Source organism: Homo sapiens, chromosome 19 (genome assembly GCF_000001405.40).
Source record: "Homo sapiens chromosome 19, GRCh38.p14 Primary Assembly".
Taxonomy (NCBI): Eukaryota; Metazoa; Chordata; class Mammalia; order Primates; family Hominidae; genus Homo; species Homo sapiens.
In genome coordinates this window covers 36,358,870-36,381,935 of record NC_000019.10, presented here as the reverse complement: position 1 = coordinate 36,381,935, position 23,066 = coordinate 36,358,870, and the positions used below count along the sequence as shown (strand labels likewise).

At 44.1% G+C, this 23,066-nt stretch overlaps 1 protein-coding gene across 2 annotated transcripts in view, besides 1 other annotated feature; it reads left to right on the top strand.

The window, feature by feature from the left end:
• Window positions 2,539-2,628: a silencer, noted in NCBI's record as "silent region_10548". NCBI's record gives its function as "represses an Ori minimal core promoter by ATAC-STARR-seq in GM12878 lymphoblastoid cells {active_cell/tissue: GM12878}" and the evidence as "EXISTENCE:reporter gene assay evidence [ECO:0000049][PMID:35858748]".
• The window catches only part of ZFP14 (ZFP14 zinc finger protein), a 44,749-nt gene continuing 24,417 nt past the window's right edge, over window positions 2,735-23,066 (top strand). The window contains exons 1-4 of one of the 2 annotated variants that reach the window (NM_020917.3): window positions 2,735-2,773; window positions 13,965-14,052; window positions 19,698-19,824; window positions 21,403-21,501. In NM_020917.3, coding sequence (NP_065968.1) covers window positions 14,044-14,052; window positions 19,698-19,824; window positions 21,403-21,501 — 235 coding nt within the window. In that variant the 5' untranslated portion in view covers window positions 2,735-2,773; window positions 13,965-14,043. Of the gene's footprint in view, window positions 2,774-13,964; window positions 14,053-19,697; window positions 19,825-21,399; window positions 21,502-23,066 lie in introns of both variants that reach the window. The other variant, NM_001297619.2, reaches the window with a different exon arrangement.

Below are 23,066 nucleotides of genomic sequence, written 5' to 3'. Positions count from 1 at the left end.
TTTTGTATTTTTTTGTAGAGTCGGGATTTCCCCATGTTACCCAGGCTGGTCTTAAAACTTCTGGGCTCAAGCCATTTGCCTGCCTCAGCCTCCCAAAGTGCTGGGATTACAGGCTTGAGCCACCGTGCCTGTCCATGAACTGTTAATAAGAACAACAAAAAGGTTAGAATGACAGGTTTTAGAGGTACAATGGAAGGGTTTTTTACAAAGGACACTGCTCTGTGTCAAATGATGGAGCATTTGACACGTGGGTTTTTTTTTTTTTTTCCTACTAAGAGAAACTGCGGATGTCTGAGAGGCAACTGAAAATATTAATAGTACAGATTTAGATACTAAGAAAAGAAATGAAACTCTCTGAAAGAAATGCTCTTATTCTGCATGATTATGATGAATTGAAGGTCCAAATCGCTTTTTTCAAACTAAACGACATGAGAAACAATCTGAAGAAAATCCTATTTCAGAAGGTCAGTGAGCATGATATTGGACCAAGTGCCCCATCATTTGACACAGAGCAGAGCAGGGCCCTTTCCAAAAATCCCTCCATCGTACCTCAGTGAAGTCAGGCGTTAATTCTCTGGGGCTGTTGGACAAGGAAAATGACCTACAGTTAGTTATCTTCACCAGCAGTCTCCTCACCAGAGAGGGTGTGAAGAATTTAGCCCCTAGTGTCAGAAGGCCTCAAAACTTAGTCAAAACGAGGCCAGGTGTAGTGGCTCAAGCCTGTAATCCCAGCACTTTGGGAGGCTGAGGCAGGCGGATCACTTGAGGCCAGGAGTTTGAGACCAGCCTGGCCAACGTGGTGAAACCCCGTCTCCACTAAAAATACAAAAAATTAGCTGGGCGTGGTGGTGGGCACCTGTCATTTCAGCTACTCAGGAGGCTGAGGCAGGAGAATCCCTTGAACCTGGGAGGCTGAGGTTGCAGTGAGACAGTATTGTGCCACCACACTCCAGGTAGGGTGACAGAACAAGACTTTGTTTCAAAAAAAAAAAAACTTAGTCAAAACAGAGAATATGGAGGAGCTATTTTAATAATTCTTTTTATTGTTTTTTTAATGGAGTGTTGATTTCCTTACATAAATTTAATTGTAAACATGTACATAGGACCGTGATTTTGAATTAAAAAAATACTTTGGGCCTTCGGCCTTCTTAGTAGTTTTTTTTGTTTTGTTTTGTTTTCGTTTTTGTTTTGATACGGCGTCTTGCTCTGTCGCCCAGGCTGGAGTGCAGCTGCACGATCTTGGCTCACTGCAACCTCCGTCTCCCTGGTTCAAGCGATTCTTCTGCCTCAGCCTCCCGAGTAGCTGGGACTACAGGTGTGCGTCACCATGCCCAGCTAAATTTTTTTGTATTTTTAGTAGAGACGGGGTTTCACCATGTTGGCCAGGCTGGTCTCAAACCCCTGACCTCAGGTGATCCACCCGCCTCGGCCCCCCGAAAGTGATGGGATTATAGGCGTCAGCCACCGCGTCTGGCCACCTTCTTAGTAGTTATAAAGTAGCTCAGATTTTTCATTTATCTCCTATTTCATGCATATCCTATTGTTTGCAAAATGAAACCAGATTGCCGAGGCATTTTCAAATATCTTCTAAAGTTTTATATTCTTAAGGAAAGAACAAATTCTTTCATGTATTAACTAATATATCAAAGAATTTGGGATACAGAAGATGCCTCAGGGTGGTCCCTGGTGGGCTTATCCCATTTCTTTCCTGAAGGAACGCAGGACAGGACAAATTCAGTCTCATTGGAGACAGACCTCTCCAGTTAGTCTTTTTCTTTTGAAACGGAGTTTCGCTCTTGTTGCCCAAGCTGGGGTGCAATGGCGGATCTCAGCTCAATGCAACCTCCGCTTCCCGGGTTCAAGCGATTTTCCTGCCTCAGCCTCCTGAGTAGCTGGGATTACAGGCGCGCGCGACCACGCCCGGCTAATTTTTTGTATTTTTAGTAGAACAATACATTCACAACTGCAGGAGATACGAGACACACACACACACACACACACACACACACACACACACACACACAGAGACAGAGACAGAGTGGGAGAAAGGGAGAGGGCAGTGAGCACGAGCGACCTTTCTAGGTTTACGTCCTGCTCCAGGTTCTGGTGGGCTTTGAGAGTATTTTCATTGCATGCCTGATGTGTGCCCACACCTTGCTTGGGTGTATGCAGTGAGTAACTGGTAGGTGTTTAGTACACATATTAGGCATCTGCTGGTGCCAAAACTTCTTTCTAAATCCTCCGCGGCTGAGCCTGGTGGCTCACGCCTGTAGTCCCAGCACTTTGGGAGGCTCAGGCGGGAGGATCTTTTAAGCCCAGGAGTTCGACACCGGCTTGGGTAACATAGGGAGATCTGGTCTCTATAAAAACTTAAAAAATGAGTTGGGCGTGGTGGCGCGCGCCTGCAGTCCCAGCTACTCTGGAGGCTCGGGTGGGAGGGTCGCTTGAGCCCGGGAGGTCGCGGCTGCAGTGAGCTCTAATCACGCCACTGCACTCCAGCCTGGGCGACAGAGTAAGACCCTGTCTCAAGAAAATAAACAAATAAAAGTCTTCCTCAGCGACAAAAGCAAACGCAAGCCCGAGCTCGCCTCAGCCCCACGCAGCGCGGAGGGCCTTCCCGCCCCGAGCGCACCCGGGGCTCCGGCCCCCGCGCATGCGCACTCCGCGCAGCCCGTTGGGGCTGGAACCAGTCCCTCCCATCGGCGGACTACATTTCCCACAGGCCTCCGCTCGCAGTTCTTTCCGGCTTCGCTGCTGGTGTCGGCTCCGAGAGGTGAGTTGGTCGCTTGCACCGAGGCAATGGGCGCGGGGGTGGCGCGGGGGCGGCGCAGACCTCAGTGTGAGCCAGGAGGCAGTAGCTGTGGAGTTTGTGGCGCTGACTGGGCGCCGGGTGCCCTGTTGCGTCCTCTGCCTTCTCGCTTCAGAGCCGCCCAGGTCCAGCGGCCCGGAATGGCTCCGAGTTAGATACAGGAACCCCGGAGTGAATGAAGGCCCCCAAACAAAAAGACGCAGTCTGAAGAACTGCAGATTGCACAGCTTTACCCGAGCTCCCTCCCATGGAAACTGCGGGGAACTCGGAGACAGATCCCAGCCCCGTCTTCGTGTACCTGGCCTTTCGCTCTGATACGGGAAAGGGTCAGCTTTATTCCAGGCTCCCTGTTATTTCCATCGGGTTTTGCGCGCAGTAGACGGAGGGAGCAAGTGCGCTAGCGGGGGTGTGTCCTGCTCAGCCAAGGCCGGCTCCAGGAAAGGCCCGCGGTCTCAAGATTCCCGTCTCCTTTCCCAATCCTGCTGTTCTTTAGGAAGGCAGCGGGGAGAGGAGGAAATGATTGCTGTTGCATATAGACAAGTCAACATCCAGATGAGTTTGTGTTTCCGTTTTGTTCCATGAAGTGTAATTTTTATTTTTTCTGGGCGTGGGGGCATTTGCTTTCCTCTTCTGTGGAATGAAAATCAGCTCGGACTGAACAATGAAGCAGCTCTGTCATTAATCAGGCTAGGAAGGAAGAGACAGATAAAGCCAGTTGCAAAATTAATAGAAAACATGATTTCTCCCCAGGTGGTGCAGTAGTTGTAAAATGGCATAATGACTCCCTCTTTGAGAGATTACAGTTTTCTTACCAGTGATGTTCTAGACTTGCTTTGCTGTTTTCATTTTATTACTGGGGATACCCTCTTGATTACACTCATGATTGCATTCAATATCTCATTAATCCCTGCCTCTCCTAATCTCACCTCGGAAACAGCAGCCATTCCAGATTGCAGCTGTCATTAGATCCTCCTTAGAATCTTTCAGCTGGAACTCAACCGTTTACGAAAGAGCTTTTCTCGTCTCTCTCGTCCATTCTATTCCAACCCTTCCTGTGGAATTTTCTCCCTTTCTGCCAGTCAATAGATATGATTTTGTCAGACTATGCGGGCTTGTTCCAGTTAATCTTCAGCTAGTTAGACTTTAACCCCTGAAATGTCCTGTCCACTGACCTGGTGCTTTGGCCTTCCTTCCCAGTGAATGATGGGGTGATGAAGGTAGATTCCAATTCCTACCCCTTTCCAGTAGGTTTGTTTTGTTTTGTTTTTTTTTGTATTTTTTGAGATGGAGTCTGGGTCTGTTACCCAGGCTGGAGTGCAGTGGCACGATGTGCTCACTGAAACCTCCGCCTCCCGGGTTCAAGCAGGATTCTCCTGCTTCAGCCTGCCAAGTAGCTAGAACTACAGGGATGAGCCACCGCACCCGGCCTCCAGTAGGTATTGACATGAGCATTTGGCAGTAATTTAGTTTCTCTTATGAGCTGCCTCTTTCTAATCATTTGGATGGTCTGGAAGTAAACCTCCTGAAGAGAAGCTAACTGCAGAGCTTTATTTTGTTACTTAAGTTTTTTTTTTTTTTTTAGAGACAGGGTCTCACTCTGTCCCTCAGGCTGGAGTGCAGTGAAGTGATCTCGCTCCCTGCAGCCTGGACCTCCCTGGCTCAAGCGATCCTTCCACCTCAGCCTCTTGAGTAGCTGAGACCACAGGCACGTGGTCCCACGCGCAATTTTTAAATTTTTTTGTAGAAATGAGGTCTCCTTATGTTGCACAGGCTGATCTTGAACTCCTGGAGTCAAGGAATTCTTCCACCTCAGCCTCCCAAAGTGTTGAGATTACAGGCGTGAGCCACCACGTAGAACTTTCATTCGATGGTGATTAGTTGAGGAGTTTACAGTTTAGATGGAATTACCCACTAGGTCTCTTTGATCCCCACCGCCCTGAGTTCAAAAGCAGGGAAAGGAGGTGGTTTGATTGGCGACAGGATCTTTTCTGCTTTTGAGGCTTTTAAGGAGTGACAATACGATGGGGTTTTTAGTGGAGAGGTCTGTGTTAACAAGGGAAGGGGTTATTAGAAGGGAAGGGAAGACAGTAGAAATTTGGAAAGTGGCTTGAAGTTTTTGACAGCATGAGTGTTTCAGGCCACGTATTTATCAGGTCTCATGAGATGCAGTTTAGTACAGTGACAGTCGTATGGGTTATGGAGCTAAAGTAGGGGGGTTCTAGTCCTCAACCTGCCACTTAAAGCTGCCTGAGCTTGGGGCAATTTATTTAATCTCTTTGTGCCACAGTTTCATCATCTGCAAAATGAGGATAATGATAGACCCTGCTATATAGGATGGCTCTGAGTAGAGGAATTAATATATGCAAAACCCTTAGCTAATGCTTGGCACATAATAAGTGCACAGTAGATTTGTTACCGTTAGGTTGTAATTTAATATTTTTCCTCATCACCCAGATCCAAAAATTGGTATCCTACCACATTTGTTTTATCTTTGTACCCTCCTTTTGTAAATTGTTGATAATCAAGAAGGATTGCCTATCAAGAGCAGGGCTGCGAAGAATTTTTTTTTTTTCTTTTTTTTTGAGACAGAGTTTTGCTCTGTCACCCAGGCTGGAGTGCGGTGGCACGATCTTGGCTCACTGCAGCCACCCGCCCCAGGTTCAAACCATTCTCCTACCTCAGCCTCCCAAGTAGCTGGGGTTACAGGCATGCATCACCATGCCTGGCTAATTTTTATATTTTTAGTAGAGATGGGGTTTCACTATGTTGGCCAGGCTGGTCTTGAACTCCTGATCTAAGTGATCCGCCTGTGTTGGCCTCCCAAAGTGCTGGGATTACAGGCCTGAGTAGAATTTTAAAAATAATTGTGGGAAGAAGCATATGTAGTATTCTTCATCTTTATTAATATAGCTGACTTTTATGAAATGCTTATTTACTACTCTAAGTGCCTTATATGTAGTATCTTATTTATTTCTCATAACAATCCTTTCAGGTAGAAACTGTAGTTCTCACCATTTCATATGGGGAACTGGAAAGTAACCTGTCTAATATCATGCAGAAAAATAAAAGCATATATTGGTAATTACAACAGTATACCAAATATCATCATTATGCATACTTAAAAAAAAAAATCTGGCCGGGCGCGGTGGCTCATGTCTGTAATCTCAGCACTTTGGGAGGCCAAGGCAGGTGCATTACCCGAGGTCAGGAGTTTAAGACCAACCTGGCCAAAATGGCGAAACCCCATCTCTACTGAAAATACAAAAATTAGGCGGGGCGCGGTGGCTCACGCCTGTAATCCCAGCACTTTGGGAGGCCGAGGCGGGCAGATCACGAGGTCAGGAGATCGAGACCATCCTGGCTAACACGGTGAAACCCCATCTCTACTAAAAATACAAAAAATTACCCGGGCATGGTGGCGGGCACCTGTAGTCCCAGCTACTCGGGAGGCTGAGGCAGGAGAATGGCGTGAACCCGGGAGGCGGAGCTTGCAGTGAGCCGAGGTCGCACCACTGCACTCCAGCCTGGGCACGACTCCGTCTCAAAAAAAAAAAAAAAAGAAAATACAAAAATTAGCTGGGTGTGGTGGCATGCGCCTGTAATCCCAGCTACTCGGGAGGCTGAGGCAGGAGAATCGCTTGAACCCAGGAGGTGGAAGTTGTGGTGAGCCGAGATCGTGCTACTGCACTCCAGCCTGGGTGGCAAAGCAAGACCTTGTCTCAAAAAAAAAAAAAAAAAAAAATTCCTTCCTGCTTTATTCAGCAATCTCACGATGAAGGGAAGAGATATCAATCTCATGATGGCACACACTGTCAAGTTTTGTCCAGATTATACTGAAGCTACAGGGTCTTTATGGAGGTAACTGGGTTTCATACAGATGTATGCCTTACAGTTTTTATTTTAATGATGTTATATGCAAAGTGAGACCAGTTGGTCAAGGAGACCCAACATCTGCTGGAGGGCTTCATAGGCATCTTAGCCAAAAGAACTGGTTCAGAAGCAAAATAAACCTGTTTATCAGGAAGATGTGAAAGGAAGCAGCATGGGGCTGCCTTCAGTGCTTAGAAGACATCAGTCAGAGACTTTTTGCCATTCTTTTCTAGGCCGTACTCCAACACACATGGGCAAATTAAATCATAGAGTTGGTTCATGAATGAGAAGCCGAAGTAAAAAAAAAAGCCACTCAGAAAAAACAGCATCTGTTTTTACAGTATCCTTAGCTTTTTTTCTCAGTTAAAAGGAAGACTGAAAGAACTTGAGCCGGGAAAGTCTTATTTGAAGTATTTGGGTATTTCAGGCTCACACTCTGTTTAATGTGGTGGTGCGTGTTGCTGGCTGTGACTGTAAACATTTTAACTGGTCCTGCTAGGGAAACATGATTTTTTTTTCTGTCAAAATAGTTTCACACTACACATGCTGGTATTTTCTTTTTTTAACACACTGGCTTCACCCATTCAAAATTAAGGCAACATCATTTTTAATGGTTGCATCATTTTCAATGGTATGGATAAACAACAGGTTATTGAATCATTCCGAAATTAGGTTCTTTTCAACTTTAATCCATTAATTCATTATAAACCATGCTGTCAGCATAGCTCTGCATAATCTTTTTTCTTTTCTTTTTTTTTTTTTTTTTTGAGACAGAGTCTCCCTCTGTCACCCAGGCTGGAGTGCAACGGCACGACATCGGCTCATTGCAACCTCCGTCTCCTGGGTTCAAGCGATTCTTCTGCCCCAGCCTCCCGAGTAGCTGGGATTACAGGCACCTGCCATCATGCCCGGCTAATTTTTGTATTTTTGTAGAGAGAGGGTTTCACCATGTTGGCCAGGCTGGTCTTGAACTCCTGACCTCAGGTGATCCGCCTGTCTTGGCCTCCCAAAGTGCTGGGATTACAGGTGTGAGCCACTGCCCCGGCCATAGCTCTGCATAATCTTTATGTACAGATACAGTCCCTTTAGTGTCAGAAGTGGAGCTTCTGATTCAGAGTTTACAGGATTGAAATGCTGCTTCACATAGCTCTAAATGTGGACCGACCTAGTGTCGGTGTCCCCACAACCTTGCTACTATAGGGCATCATCAGTCTTTTAGGTCTTGCAATGCAGTCATTGTAAAAAGGTACATTTTGTTTGCTTTAACTTTCATTTTTTTCTTTTCTTTTTTCTTTCATTTTTTTCTGTTCTTTTTTCTTTCATTTTTTTCTTTTTTTTTTTTTTTGAGATGGGGTCTTACTCTGTTGCCCAGGCTTGAGTGCAGTGGCATCATCTCAGCTCACTGCAACCTCTGCTTCCCAGGCTCAAGCCATCCTCCTGCTTCAACCTCCTGGTAGCTGAGACTACAGGTGCACGCTACCATGCCCGGCTAATTTTTAAAATTTTTTTGTAGAGACAAGGTCTCACTATGTTGCCCAGGCTGGTCATTTTCTTAATACCGAGCTTTAGTATTAAAATTATTTTTTGACAGATAAAATTACATGTATTTATCATGTACATCATGGTGTTTTAAAGTATATATACATTGTGGAATGTCTAAATCTAGCTAATTAACATATGAATTACCTTTTACATAGTTACCATTTTTGTGGTGAGAACACTTTACAGGTCTTAGCTTTTTTCAGTAATACAATATATTGTTAACTATATCACCATGTTGTATAATAGATCTCTTGAACTTATTCCTCCTATGTAACTGAAATTTTGTATCGTTTGACCAACATCTCCTCAACCTTGCCATTTCCCCCCACCCCCAACTACCCCAGATTCTGGTAACTACCATTCTACTCTCTACTTCTATGAGATTAAGTTGTTTTTGTTTGTTTGTTTGTTTGGTTGTTTTTTTGTTTTTTTTTTTTGAGACGGAGTTTTGCTCTTGTTGCCCAGGCTGGAGTGCAATGACGCCATCTCGGCTCACCACAACCTCCGCCTCCCGGGTTCAAGTGATTATCTTGCCTCAGCCTCCTGAGTAACTGGGATTACAGGCGTGTGCTACCATGCCCGGCTAATTTTGTATTTTTAGTAGAGACAGGGTTTCTCCATGTTGGTAAGGCTGGTCTTGAACTCCCGACCTCAGGTGATCCTCCCGCCTCGGCCTCCCAAAGTGCTGGGATTACAGGCGTGAGCCACCACGCCTGGTCGAGATCAACTTTTTAAGATTCCACTTATGAATGAGATCACGTGGTGTTTATCTTTCTGTTTCTGGCTTATTTCACTTAACATAACGTCCTTCCAGATTCATCTGTGTTGTCACAAATGACAGGTTTTGTTTCTTTATCATAGCTGAATGGTATTACATTTTATTTACATAGCAGATTTTCTTTGTCCATTCATCCATTGATGGACACCATGTGTTGGCCATCGTGAATAATGCTATAATAAACATGAAAGTGCAGAGATCTCTTTGACATTCTGATTTCATTTCCTTTGGATATATACAGTAGTGTGATTGCTAGATCATATGGTAGTTCTATTTTTAGTTTTTTGAGGCCTCTCCATACTGTTTGTCATAATGACTGGCTTCCCAAAATGTTGGGGTTACAGGCATGAGCCACCATGCCCAGCCTGTTCAGATTTTTTATTTCTTCATAATTCAATCTTGGTAGGTTGTATGTGTCAGGGAATTAATCATTTATTTTAGGTTATCCAATTTTCTGGTGTATGTTTGTTCATAATAGTCTCTTCTATTTCTGTTGTATCAGTTGTAATGTCTCCTTTTTCATTTCTAGTTTTATTTGAATATTTTCAATATTTTCTGTTTTCTCTTGGTTAGTATAGCTTAGTTAGGTTTGTCAATTTTGTGGGTTTTTTCTTTTTTCAAAAAAAAAACTCTTAATTTTATTGATTCTTTCTATTGGCTTTCTGGTCTGTGTCATTTATTTCTGCCCTAATCTTTATTATTTTCTTCCTTCTAACTTTGGGCCATACCTGGATACTTACCTTTCCCCAGGTTTGGAAAGTTTTTTGCTACTCTTTTTTTCTCTTTCCTCTTTCTTTTTTCCTTCCTTCCTTCCTTCCTTTCTTCCTTCCTTCCTTCCTCCTTTCCTCCCTACCTCCCTCCCTTCCTTTCTTCTTTTTCTTTCTTTCCTCTCTTTTTTCTTTCTTTCTCCTTCCTTCCTTCCTTCCCTCCTTCCCTCCCTCCCTCCCTCCATCCCTCCTTCCTTCTTATCTCCCTTCCTTTCCTTTCATCTCACTCTGTTGCCCAGGCTGGAGTGTAGTGGCATGATCATAGCTCACTGCAACCTTGAACTTCTGGGTCCAAGTGATCCTTCTGCTTCAGCCGCCCATGTAGCTGGAACTACAGGCACATGCAACAATACCTGGCTTATTTTTAAAAAATTATTTGTAGAGATGAGTCTCGCTATGTTGCCCAGGCTGGTTTCAAACTCCTGGACTCAAGTAATCCCACCTTGGCCTCCCAAAGTGCTGGGATTATAGGCATGAGCCTCTGTGCCTGCTGTTATTTCTTTAAATAAGCTTTCTACTTGTTTATCTTTCTCTTCTCCCTTTTTAACTCCTACTGCTCAAATATTTGCTATTTTGATGCTGTCCCATGAATCCTATAAACTTTCTGCATTTCTTTTCATCCTTTTTTCCATCCAACTGTATATTTTTAGATAACTTGTCTTCAGGTTTACAGATTCATTCCTCTGCTTGGTCAATTCTGCTGTTGATGTTCTGTCTTGCATTTTCAAAATTTCCTTCATTGTATTTTTCAGCTCCAGAATTTATGTTTGATTTTAAAAATTATTTCAATCTATTTAATTTCTCATTCTGATCACATATTGTTTTTCTCACTTTTTAAAGTTCTCTGTATTTCTTGAAGTTCACTGAACTTCCTTAAAACAGTTATTTGAATTCTTTCCTTTTTTTTGAGACAGAGTCTCGCTCTGTCGCCCAGGCTGGAGTGCAGTGGCGCGACCTTGACTCACTTCAAGCTCCGCCTCCTGGGTTCATGGCATTCTCTTGCCTCAGCCTCCCGAGTAGCTGGACTACAGGCACCCACCAGCATGCCCGCCTAATTTTTTTGTATTTTTTAGTAGAGATGGGGTTTCACCGTGTTAGCCAGGATGGACTCGATCTCCTGACCTCGTGATCCGCCTGCCTCGGCCTCCCAAAGTGCTGGGATTACAAGTGTGAGCCACTGTGCCCAGCCTGTTTTAATTCTTTATCAGGCAGTTCAGACATCTCCATTTCTTTAGAGTCAATCACTGGCACTTTATGTTGTCCTATTGACGATGTCATGTTTCCCTGATTGTTGTTGATCTTTGTGACCGTGCACTGATGTCTGCACACTTGAAAGGACTGTGTATTTATTCCAGTCTTTGCAGAATGAGGTTCATCTGGGAAAGCCCATCAATAGCCCATGCAGTGGTTCTGGGCAGCCTGTCTGGTTTGGTCCTTAAGGCTGGGGCTGCTACGGTGGGTATAGTGCTGGGATGCTCCAAAAGGCTGGAACCACATTCTCTGGTGTTGCACATAGCATGCCCCAAGCCCAGGGCCACTCTGGCTGGTGCAGTGCTGGGGCACGCTCAAAGCCTGAGACCACTGTGACTGGTGCCATACTGTTATGTGCCTGATTGCAGAGGCCACTGAGGCTTGCCTGTTGCTAAGGGCTGTTGGAGCCCAGGGCCTCTGATGTCAGCCTGATGGTGGTGGCAGCCTGGAGATGGAGTTCATCATGCAAGCCTGAAGCCTGGGCTGCATGATCTTTCCTGATGCCAGAGCAGGTCTAGAGGGTCAGTCTGTGGCTACTGGCCTGGAGTCTGGGGTTGGGAGTCTCCCTGTTGCTGGGTTTTACTATGGCGGGCCTGGTGTTAGGGAACAGGCAAAGTTCTGTGCTCACTTCCCTGACTTTTCCCCAAGTGGGCAATACCTCTGTCTACACTGTGCTGCCTTGAGCTGGGGAGGGGTGACATGGGTAATGTCGAGCCGTCCTTCCTGCACTCTTCAATGCTTCTTTTCTTATTATTGTGCTACAACCCAGTACTGCGATCTCTCACCTGGTTGCCTTAGCTATTGTGAAGGCATTTTTGTTGATGGATAATTGCTCAAACTGATGTTTCTGCAGGTGGACCATAGATGGAAAGAACTATTTTGCTATCTTCTGAGATTTAGCATTTTTTGAAAGATTATTAGCTGGGCATGGTGGTGCCCAACTATAGTCCCAACTGCTTGGGAATCTGAGGTGGGAGGATTGCTTGAGCCCGGGAGGTCGAGGCTGCTGTGAGCCAAGATCATGCCACTGTAGTCCAGCCTGGGTAACAGAGTGAGACCGTGTTTTTGAAAAAACAAAACAAAACAAAACCTACTGTTAGTTATTCCTCTTTTTTTTAGTGAATTGCTGATGATCAGATTTCTCCTGGTGAAGTAGAAATCCTTGCTTCAGAGACAAATACCTGAGTTGAAAGAGAAACTGGCTTTTAGGCTGGGTGTGGTGGCTCACGCCTGTAATCCCAACATTTTAGGAGGCTGAGGCGGGTGGATCAATTGAGGTCAGGAGTTCGAGACCAGCCTGGGCAACATGGTGAAACCCTGTCTCTACTATAAATATAAAAATTAGCCGGGCGTAGTGGCAGGCGCCTGTAATCCCAGCTACTTGGAAGACTGAGGCAGGAGAAACGCTTGAACCCTGGAGGCAGAGGTTACAGTGAGCCATGGTCATGCCACTGCAGTTCAGCCTGGGTGACAGAACAAGGCTCTGTCTGCAAAAACAAACAAAAAAAACAAAACCAAAAAAAGAAAAAAGAAACGGGCTTTTTAGTTAGAGAAATGTAGATTCAAAACAAATGTTGGCAACTTAACTGATTTGACCCCTGGGCATTAGTTTCCTGAGCTATTAAAAGGAGAGCACTACATTGCAGAACAGTACCGAGGACAACTGACAATGTGTATGAAGTACCCAACACATAGAGGTTCTCAATGAATATTGTTGACCAACTGCAGGAATCATGAATCCCTTCTGTCCCCAGCTTGGATACTAAAAGGAAAGTGGGGCCGGGCACGGTGGCTCACGCCTGTAATCCCAGCCCTTTGGGAGGCCGAGGCGGGCGGATCACCTGAGGTCAGGAGTTCAAGACAAGCCTGGTCAACATGGCGAAACCCCGTCTCTACTAAAAATATAAAAATATAAAAATTAGCTGGGCGTGGTGGCATGTACCTGTACTCAGGAGGCTGAGGCAGGATAATCACTTGAACCCGGGAGATGGAGGTTGCAGTGAGCTGAGATCGTGCCATTGCACTCCAGCCTGGGTGACAGAGTGAAATTCCATCTAAAAAAAAATTAATCAATAAAAGAGAAGGAGTGGTGAAGGATGTCATGGTATGGGAGGCCCTGATTGGAAAACTGGAGTGGCGAGCTTTCCTGGCTGGGGAAGGCAAGGGTAGCCTCACATTGGCAGAAGCTGCCAGGTTCAATCTGTGTGGTCTTTTAGTTGCTGTGTTTAGGTAGTTCAGGCAGGATTCTAGGGGCAGGATTCAGGGCCCTTCTCAGTCCTGAAAAGTTGTCCTAGAGTGAGGAGGAGCTGCTCAGAACAAATCTGAGTAATCCAGTGTCTGGACCAGATCCACATTGCTAGAGGGCGACCTGGTCAGAAATCCTCTTGCAGAAGTAGCTAGGCTTCTACACCAAGTTCATCATTTGTCACCTATTTCTTCAGAGCTTGTATTTCTTTCTTTTTTGCTCTTGTTGCCCAGGCTGGAGTGTAATGGCGCAATCTCAGCTCACCGCAACCTCCGCCTCCTGGGTTCAAGCGATTCTCCTGCCTCAGCCTCCCGAGTAGCTGGGATTACAAGCATGTGCCACCACGCCCAGCTAATTCTGTATTTTTAGTAGAGGCAGGGTTTCTGCATGTTGGTCAGGCTGGTCTCGAACTCCCGACCTCAGGTGCTCCAACTGCCTTGGCCTCCCAAAGTGCTGAGATTACAGGCGAGAGCCACCGTGCCCGGCCAGAGCTTGTTTCTCTTTAGACTCCCTATACTTTTCCCCAGTTATATGTGGGTATAGGATAGGGATGGGCATAGTGGTGGGTGGTACTTTGGAAAAGCCAATGGAAGTAGTTTGGGAGAAGGAATGGAAGAGAAAAAAGTTTTCATATTTATGATGTACATCATTTTGGGAGCTCTGTGGCGCAGCTTATTTCATGGTTTCTTTTTCTTCTTTCAGCTCTGGCTTATCAGGACTCCATAGTTCTCCAACAGAGAAATCTTGAAAAGGACTGACCAGTTTTTGCAGTTCTAAAACCATGGCCCATGTAAGTTAATGTTTCTCTGTCCTTTTCGAAATACTGTCAATTTCTGTATCATGTATATAGATTCATTCTTTATTCTGAAACTTCCTGCTTACCAGAGCTTCATCCAAGAACCTGCTCCATGGCTGGACGCAATGGCTCACGCCTGTAATCCCAGCACTTTGGGAGGCCGAGGCAGGCGGATCACTTGAGGTCAGGAGTTCGAGACCAGCCTGGCCAACATGGTGAAACCCTGTCTCTACTAAAAATACAAAAATTAGCCAGTGTGGTGGCAGGCGCCCAGGAGGCTGAGGCAGGAGAATTGCTGGAACCCGGGAGGTAGAGGCTGCAGTGAGCCGAGATTGCGTTACTGCACTCCAGCTGGGGCGACAGAGCAAGACACCATCTCAAAAAAAAAAGAACCTACTCCAGTTCTTTTCCCTCCTGTGAGGATTGGGACAGATAGCCCAGTATCCTATGTGGCTATCTCTTCTCCCACTAATGTTGAGCATCTCCTACCTACAAAATCTTCTGTCAATAGCTGTGAGAAAGCGGAAATGAGATGCCTTGAGAAAATTGAAGGCATTCTCTGCAGAATGTCCTCCTGTTAACATCTTCCAGTGGAACCGCTTTTCATTTTAAAACTTAAACTCCAGAAAAAGTATATTTTTCTCAGTACAGTGCTTTTTGTCTTAGTTTTACATAGAAAAAATAGGTGTCCCCAATACATAATATGACATTTTTTTTTTTTTTGAGACAGAGTTTCACTCTTATCACCCAGGCTGGAGTGCAGTGGCATGATCTCGGCTCACTGCAACCTCCACCTTCTGGGTTCAAGCAATTCTCCTGCCTCAGCCTCCCAAGTAGCTGGGATTACAGGTGCCCGCCACCATACCTGGCTAATTTTTGCATTTTTAGTAGAGATGGGATTTCACCATGTTGGACAGGATTGTCTTGAACTCCTCATCTCAGGTGATCTGCCTGCCTCGGCCTCCCAGAGTGCTAAGATTACAGGTATGAGCCACTGCACCTGGCCACAATATGACATTTTTAAAACGTTTTTGAAATTTTTTGTGGAGGAATGACATATATACAAAAAAATATACAAACCATAAGTGTATGGCTGGATGAATTTTCATAAATTGAGTACATCTATGCTATCAGGTCAAGAAAGGAAATCACCTCAGATGCTTTCAGTCACTCCCCACCCACCTACTGCCCAGGGTAACCACTGTCTTGATGTCGAACACTATAATGTAATTTTGCTTATTTTTGGAACCTTGTTCAAGTGGGGCAGGTGTGGTGGCTCATGCCTGTAATCCCAGTACTTGGGGAGGCTGAGGTGGGCAGATCGCTTAAGCTCAGGAGTTCCAGACCATCCCGGGCAACAAGGCAAAACCGTGTCTCTACAAAAAATACAAAACCTAGCTGGGCATGGTGGCACACCTATAGACGCAGCTACTCAGGAGGCTGAGGTGGGCGAATGACTAGAGCTCGGGAGGTGGAGGTTACAGTGAACCGAGATCGCACCATTGCACTCCAGCCTGGATGACAGAGCCAGACCCTATCTCAAAAAGACAAAACAAAACAAGAACTTTGTTCAAGTGGAATCATATAGTTCAATACAATTTTTTTTTTTTGAGACAGAGTCTCGCTCTGTCGCCCAGGCTGGAGTGCAGTGGCAGGATCTCGGCTCACTGCAACCTCCGCTTTCTGGGTTCAAGCGATTCTCCTGCCTCAGCCTTCTGAGTACCTGGAGTTACAGGCGCCCACCACCACTCCCAGCTATTTTTTGTGTTTTTTTTTGTAGAGACGGGGTTTCACCATGTCGGCCAGGCTGGTCTCAAACTCCTGACCTCAAGTGATCCACCTGCCTCGACCTCCCAAAGTGCTGAGATTACAGGCATGAGCCACCATCCACCATGACACCCAGCCTTTTTTTTTTTTTGACAGAAGGTCTCACTCAGTCACCCAGGCCGGAATGCGGTGGTATGATCCCAACTAACTGCAGCCCCGACCTCCCAGGCTCAGGTGATCCTCCCACCTCAGCCTCCTGAGTACTGGGGACTACAGGCACGTGCCACCACTCTTGGCTAATTTTTAAAATTTTTTGTAGAGATGGGGTCCCACTATGTTGCCTAAGCTGAACTCAAACTCCTGGGCTCAAGTGATTCTCCCACTTTAGCCTCCCAAAGTATTGGCATTATAGGTGTGATCCACCGCACCTGATCCAATACAATGCTTTTTTTTAAAAAACAAAAATAACATCCAGGAAAAATCTTGTTATATCCCAAATACAGTTGTTAGACCAATGGAACCATCTGCAGATGTTTTGAAATGTGTATAACTATCATTCAAGGGCATGTGTGTACCTGGTGCTGCTAGTGACTGAGGAGGTAACAGAGCACCATCCTGAGTGTCAGCCGTTCCCGCTATCACGTTCTTGTTGGAAACACTTTTCCATACTGTGCTTCACATATAGCCCTCATTTTTGTCTAGTGTAAAATGAGTTCCTAAAAGATTGGAAAAGTATTGAAGAAAATTGTGGAGAAAGAAACCAAGCAAATGAGAAAAATGAATTTAGTAAAAGAGATGATTAAAATACTAAAAGCAAAGATGTTGTGTGTGTACTGACCCACTGTGTCCCATAGTTCTATATTGGAGGAAAATGTGCAAAGCTAGTTGGAGGGATGGAATTGACATATAACTCATTATAATGCTCTGATTTCACATAATGGGAGGCCGTGTGTAGTGGCTCACGCCTGTAATCCCTCCTTTGGGAGGCCATTGCTTGAGGCCAGGAATTCAATGTTGCAGTGAGCTGTGATCACATCACTGCACTCCAGCCTAGGCAACAGCCTGGGCAACAGAGTGAGACCCTGTCAAAAAAAAAAAAAAAAAAAAAAAAAAAAAGAAAAAGAAAAAGGAAAGAAAGCAAAGAAAGAAAGAAGGAGGAAGGAAGGAAAGAAAGTAAATAAAATGATGGGAAAATAGGTACCTGGTTAATCGTTAGAATGTCTGATTTTCAGGAATGGATTACTGATGTTAAGTGGGAGGTCCCTATTTTGAGCTTTCCTTAAGATCTGTGATTTGATGAAAGAGAGAATTTGGTCTTATCTGACTGCTTATAGGGAAAACTCTAAACTTCTCCACAGATCTGAGTTTTTCAAGTATATAGGATAGGATTTAGTGTTGACTGACCTTAGTTTTTATGTATGTTGAGACCCTATACTATGTAAGGCTTTTAGGTGGATTGGGTAGGGATGTAATTGGGCCTTATAAGATAAGGCCTAAACTTTCATGTGTGCCTTGACAACTTTGTCAAGACCCTAAAGGCCTAACCATGAGTTCCCCTGCTCTTACCCGATATGCCCACACCCAGCGGGAAAGGCTTCCTACCCAGCTAGTTCTCCTATGAGCTAGACCAGTTACACCCCTCGTCGTCCTCAACCTAATGGGTTTCACCTCCCTGCTAGCCTATGGAATTATTCAAACAAGCCAATCACATACCACTGCAGGAACCAGGGAACACCTCACCTTGTTATTACTGTAAAGCCTGCCTCCCATACCCCTGCTTGTTCATGCTGTTCTTAAATGCAATCCCCTTGTGCCCCTGCGTGATGTATGATGTCCTCTCTCAGGCTCTGAATATATGCATCGAACAAATTGCTGTCAATCTCATCTGTCCAGTGTGGGCTATTTGATTGTCTTGTACTTTTTAGGGCAGGGATCCCTTCTTCACCAACAGGGTGAATAGGATGTGATCAGAATAGGACTGCAAATAGATACCTCAATCAATGGAGATTTCCTCCTGCGGAGAAGAATGCCAGGAACGAGGTCCATTGTGTATTTTTACAGGATGTGCTGGTCTAGAGCAGGATTTCTCAACCTTGGAACTATTGACTTTTTTTTTTTTTTGAGACCGAGTCTTACTCTGTCGCCTAGGCTGGAGTGCAGTAGTGTGATCTCAGCTCACTGCAACCTCCGTCTCCTGGGTTCAAGTGATTCTACTGCGTCAGCCTCCTGAGTAGCTGAGATTACAGGCTCCCACCACCACACCCAGCTGATTTTTGTGTTTTTAGTAGAGACAGGGTTTCACCATGTTGACAAGGTTGGTCTCAAACTCCTGACCTCAAGTGATCTGCCTGCCTTGGCCTCCCAAAGTGCTGGGATTACAGGCTTGAGCCACTGCACCTGGCCTGAACTATTGACATTTTGATGGGGAGTCTTTTATTGTAGGGGGCCGTCCCGTGCATTGTAGGATGTCTAACAGTGTCCCTGGCCTCTACCCATTAGATGCCTGTAACACTCACACCCTTTCCTCCGATTGTGACAACCAAAATTGTCTCCAGATATGGCCGGATGTCTTTTGGGGAGCAAAATGACTCCTCATTGAAAATGATTGATACAGGGGGCCGGGCGCGGTGGCTCACGCCTGTAATCCCAGCACTTTGGGAAGCCGAGGCGGGCGGATCACGAGGTCAGGAAATCGAGGCCATCCTAATTAACGCGGAGAAACCCCGTCTCTACTAAAAATACAAAAAAAATTAGCCGGGCGTGGTGGCGGATGCGTGTAGTCCCAGCTACTTGGGAGGCTGAGGCAGGAGAATGGCGTGAACCTGGGAGGCGGAGCTTGCAATGAGCCGAGATCACGCCACCGCACTCCAGCCTGGGCGACAGAGCGAGACTCCGTCTCAAAAAAAAAAAAAAAAAAAAAAGAAAAGAAAAGAATATGATTGATAATGGTGTCCAGGTGATATCTTTATGATATCTTCATGATTCAGTGTCCTGTAACTCAGGAACAAAAAAACAATGTTCAAGAGATGATAGATAGTGACAAGCAAGAAGATTATTCACATCCATAAAGATTAGATATTGTAGACGTTGAGAATTGGGGAAGACTTTCGAGATTTTATTGAATTAAAATATCTAAAGAAAAAAGAATCTAATATATTAAAAATGTAGACTGCCATCGAACGAATTTTTGAAAGTTTACTAAAGAATTGGTTATAAAAGAGAAAGTGTTTATAATAAAACCCGAGTTTGTGATGAATTTGAATCTGTCTTCTTGGATTTTGTAGCACATGTGGGATAAATTTTTATCAATGTTTTTAAATGATCATTAAAGGGAAAAGAGAGCCCAAGACCTCATATTTCTTTTTTTTTAAATTTTTAAATTTTTAAATTTCTTTTTATGTAGAGACAGGGTCTTGCTAATGTTGATCAAGCTGGTCTTGAACTTACGGGCTCAAATGATCCTCTCATCTGGGCCTCCCAAAGTGCTGGTATTATAGCCATGAGCCACTGCACCTGGCCTCAAGACCTCATATTTTTAAAGAATTTATGGTGGAGGCACATAGTATTCAAAAGGCTTGCGTGCACTATTTCATTTAATTAGGATTTTTTTGGGTTATGTACTCATTTCTAGAAATGTTTGGATGAAAATGTAATCATATCTATAGCCACAGGACTATTCAAGAACATGTAGGCTCAGTGCTTGAGAAATACTAATTTTCTTACTGGCCCCTACTCATGTCACAAGTTTTCAGCCCAATGCTGTTTGCATGCTATCTGACCCCTCTCTGCAATGCAATCCTCAATCTCCCCTCTTTCCATTTTAAAAGTATTTAATTTATTTTCACAAGTAATACCTGAGTTTGTTTTTTCAGGGTTCAGTGACATTCAGGGATGTGGCCATAGACTTCTCACAGGAAGAATGGGAATTCCTGGATCCTGCTCAGAGGGACTTATATAGGGATGTAATGTGGGAGAACTACAGCAACTTCATTTCACTAGGTAAGGTTATTTATCCCAAATGATATTAGCTTTCTCTGCTGTCAATTTCAGGACTATATTTAGAAAAACTCTCTAAAACTACTTTCTATTCTCAAAGGAATGATTTAAGCTTTGTCAGGTTGGAACTAGGCCTCTCCATTTCATCATGTCCAGTCTGCTATGCCCTTCAGACTTCCTTCAGACTCTGTAATTCCTGATTTCCTTAGTATCCAAGGGGATGGATTTGAATATGGCAAAAGCATTGTTCAAGAAACCAGACTTCACCTTATATTGGAGCTCAGAATTGACATAAATGCTTCACACCATCTGCAAGTAGAATACCTAGACATAGGGGTTCTGAGTTTCTCTAAAAATCAAAGGAATCTGTAGAACATAGTGTGAGATGGATCCAGAAAGGTTATTTAAAACTCATAGCCGGGCATGGTGGCACGTGCCTGTAATCCCAGCTACTCGGGAGACTGAGGCAGGAGAATCACTTAAACCCAGGAGGCGGAGGTTGCAGTGAGCTGAGATCACGCCACTGCATTCCAGCCTGGGCGACAGAGTGAGACTCCATCTCAAAAAAACCTCAAGGTCAGGCATGGTGGCTCATGCCTGTAATCCTAGCACTTTAGGAGGCCGAGTCGGGTGGATCACTTGAGGTCAGGAGCTCCAGACCAGCCTGGCCATCATGGTGAAACTCCATCTCTACTAAAAATACAAAAATTAGCCAGGCATGGTGGCGCATGCCTATAATCCCAGCTACTTGGGAGGCTGAGGCAGGAGAATTCCTGGAAGCTGGGAGACTGAGGTTGCAGTGAGTTGAGATCGCGCCATTGCACTCCAGCCTGGGTGACAGAGTGAGACTCTGTCTCAAACAGAAAAAACCCTGAAACACATTCTGTTTCCTGTAACAGACATATGCAGTTCTACCTACTTTGTAATTGAAAATTAAAATCTAAAAGCCTGGCATTTAACATTGAATGAATATCCTAGAAAAGATCTGGGAATGTCTCAAAAAACCTTTTAGTATGCACTCATCAAAATGATAACAGTAAATAGCTAATAGCTAATACATATATTATGTGTATATGTTAATAAACATCACCATATATTTGGGCTTAAACATTATTCTAAGCATTGTTCATTATTAATTAACCCTCACAACAACGCTATGAGAAGATATTATTATCTTCATTTTATTTGAGAAAACGTAGACACAAAAGGTTAATAATTTGCTAGGTAACACAGAAACAAAGGCAGGATGTGAAGCCAGGCAGTCTGGATCCAGTCTGTGTTCTTCCCTCTACACAATACTGCCTTTCAACAGAGCTTGTGTGAGGTTAAATTATATTAAGGCCTGTTCTTGACCAGATGGTTAATATAATGGCCTTAGTATACTTAATTTAACCTCATACAGGCTATTCCTTGTGACCCTCAAGTTACCTTAATATGAGCATTCTTCAACTCCCTTGCAATTCTTCGCTCCTAGGCTTTATAAAGTGCCATATTGATCTGTAGTTAATTATAAATTTAACCAAATCTAAATCTAAAGATTTTCTGGTGTATAATTCCATGTCACATTTTTCTTTTAAGCAGGACCTTCCATTTCTAAACCAGATGTGATTACCTTATTGGATGAAGAAAGGAAGGAACCTGGGATGGTTGTGAGGGAAGGGACAAGAAGATACTGCCCTGGTGAGTGAGGGCTGAGCAGGCATTGAGAAATCACTACTGCAGGTAATAGCTAAACTGATTAGGGTGGAGGCACACCCTTGAGATGTTGGGGTCTCTCTTCAAAAAGCCCCTGGCCTATGGAGGCAGGGCTTGGGACTTGAAGCAAATTAAGATCTTTTAAGCCTGGACTAGCAAAGGAACTTTCTATTGATCTTGAATGCAACACTGTTTCTCATCTTTCATATTTCTATCCTACTTTAAAGAGAAGAACTATTCCTGGTAGAAGAAAAAATAAATAAATATAAGAGCAGAAATCAGCAAAATAGAAAAGAAATAAAGAAAATTAATAAAGCCAAAAATTGATTTCTTGAAAAGATCAGCAAAGATGGTAAACACCTAGTAATTTACATTCTCTCTTTTTAAAGAACATAAATTACTAACATCAGGAATGAAAGAGGGATTTTCACTTTAGATCCTATAGCCGTTAAAAGAATAATAAGAGGCTGGGCGTGGTGGCTCACTCTGGTAATCCCAGCGTTTTGGGAGGCCGAGGCAGGCTGGTCACTTGAGGTCAGGGGTTCCAAACCAGTCTGGCCAACGCAGCAAAACACTGTCTCTACTAAAAATACGAAAATTAGCTGGGCATAGTGGCGGGCACCTGTAGTCCCAGCTACTCAGGAGGCTGAGACACAAGAGTCACTTGAACCCGGGAGGCGGAGGTTGCAGTGAGCCAAGATCACGCCACTGCACTCCAGCCTGAGTGACAGAGTGAGACTCTACCCCGACTCCAAAAAAGAAGAATAATAAGAATAATAAGAGAATGCCATGAATTACTTTATGCCAATAAATTTGATAACTTAAATGAAATTTTAAAATTTCTGGAAAAGTACAACTTACCGGAACTGACACAAGATAAAAAAGAAATTGAATACCCTTATGCTGCTAAAGTAATTGAATTCATTATCAGAAACCTTCCACAAAGAAAATGCCAGCCCCAGATGGTTTCACTGGTGAATTCTATTAAACATCTAAGGAAGAAATAGCAGCAGTATTATACAAACTCCTTCAGAAAAGGAATGCATTTTATGAGGCCAACATAACTCATACCATAACCCAAGAAAGACATTACAAAAAAAGCATAAACCCATCTTTTCCATACATAGATACAAAAATTTTAATAAAATATTAACAAATCAAATATAATGATATACAAAAATGATGATTAGGATTTCTTTCTACCTGTTAATTCACCATATTAACAGAAAAAATGAAAGACCGTATGATCATTGTCTTAGTTCACTTTCTGTTGTTTATAACAGAATACCTTGAAATTCAGTAATTTACAAGGAAAAGGAATTTATTTCTTACCGTTTTGGAGGTTGAGAAGTCCAGCCTCAAAGGGCTGTGTCTATTGAGGGCCTTCTTGCTGGTGGGGACTCTGCTGAATTCCGAGGCTTTGCAGGGCATCAAATGGCAAGTGGGCTGAACATGCAAATGTGCTAGTTGAGGCCTCTCTTCTTCTTATAAAGTCATCAGTCCCAATCCTGTGATAACCCATTAATCGATTAACTCACCAATCCATGAAT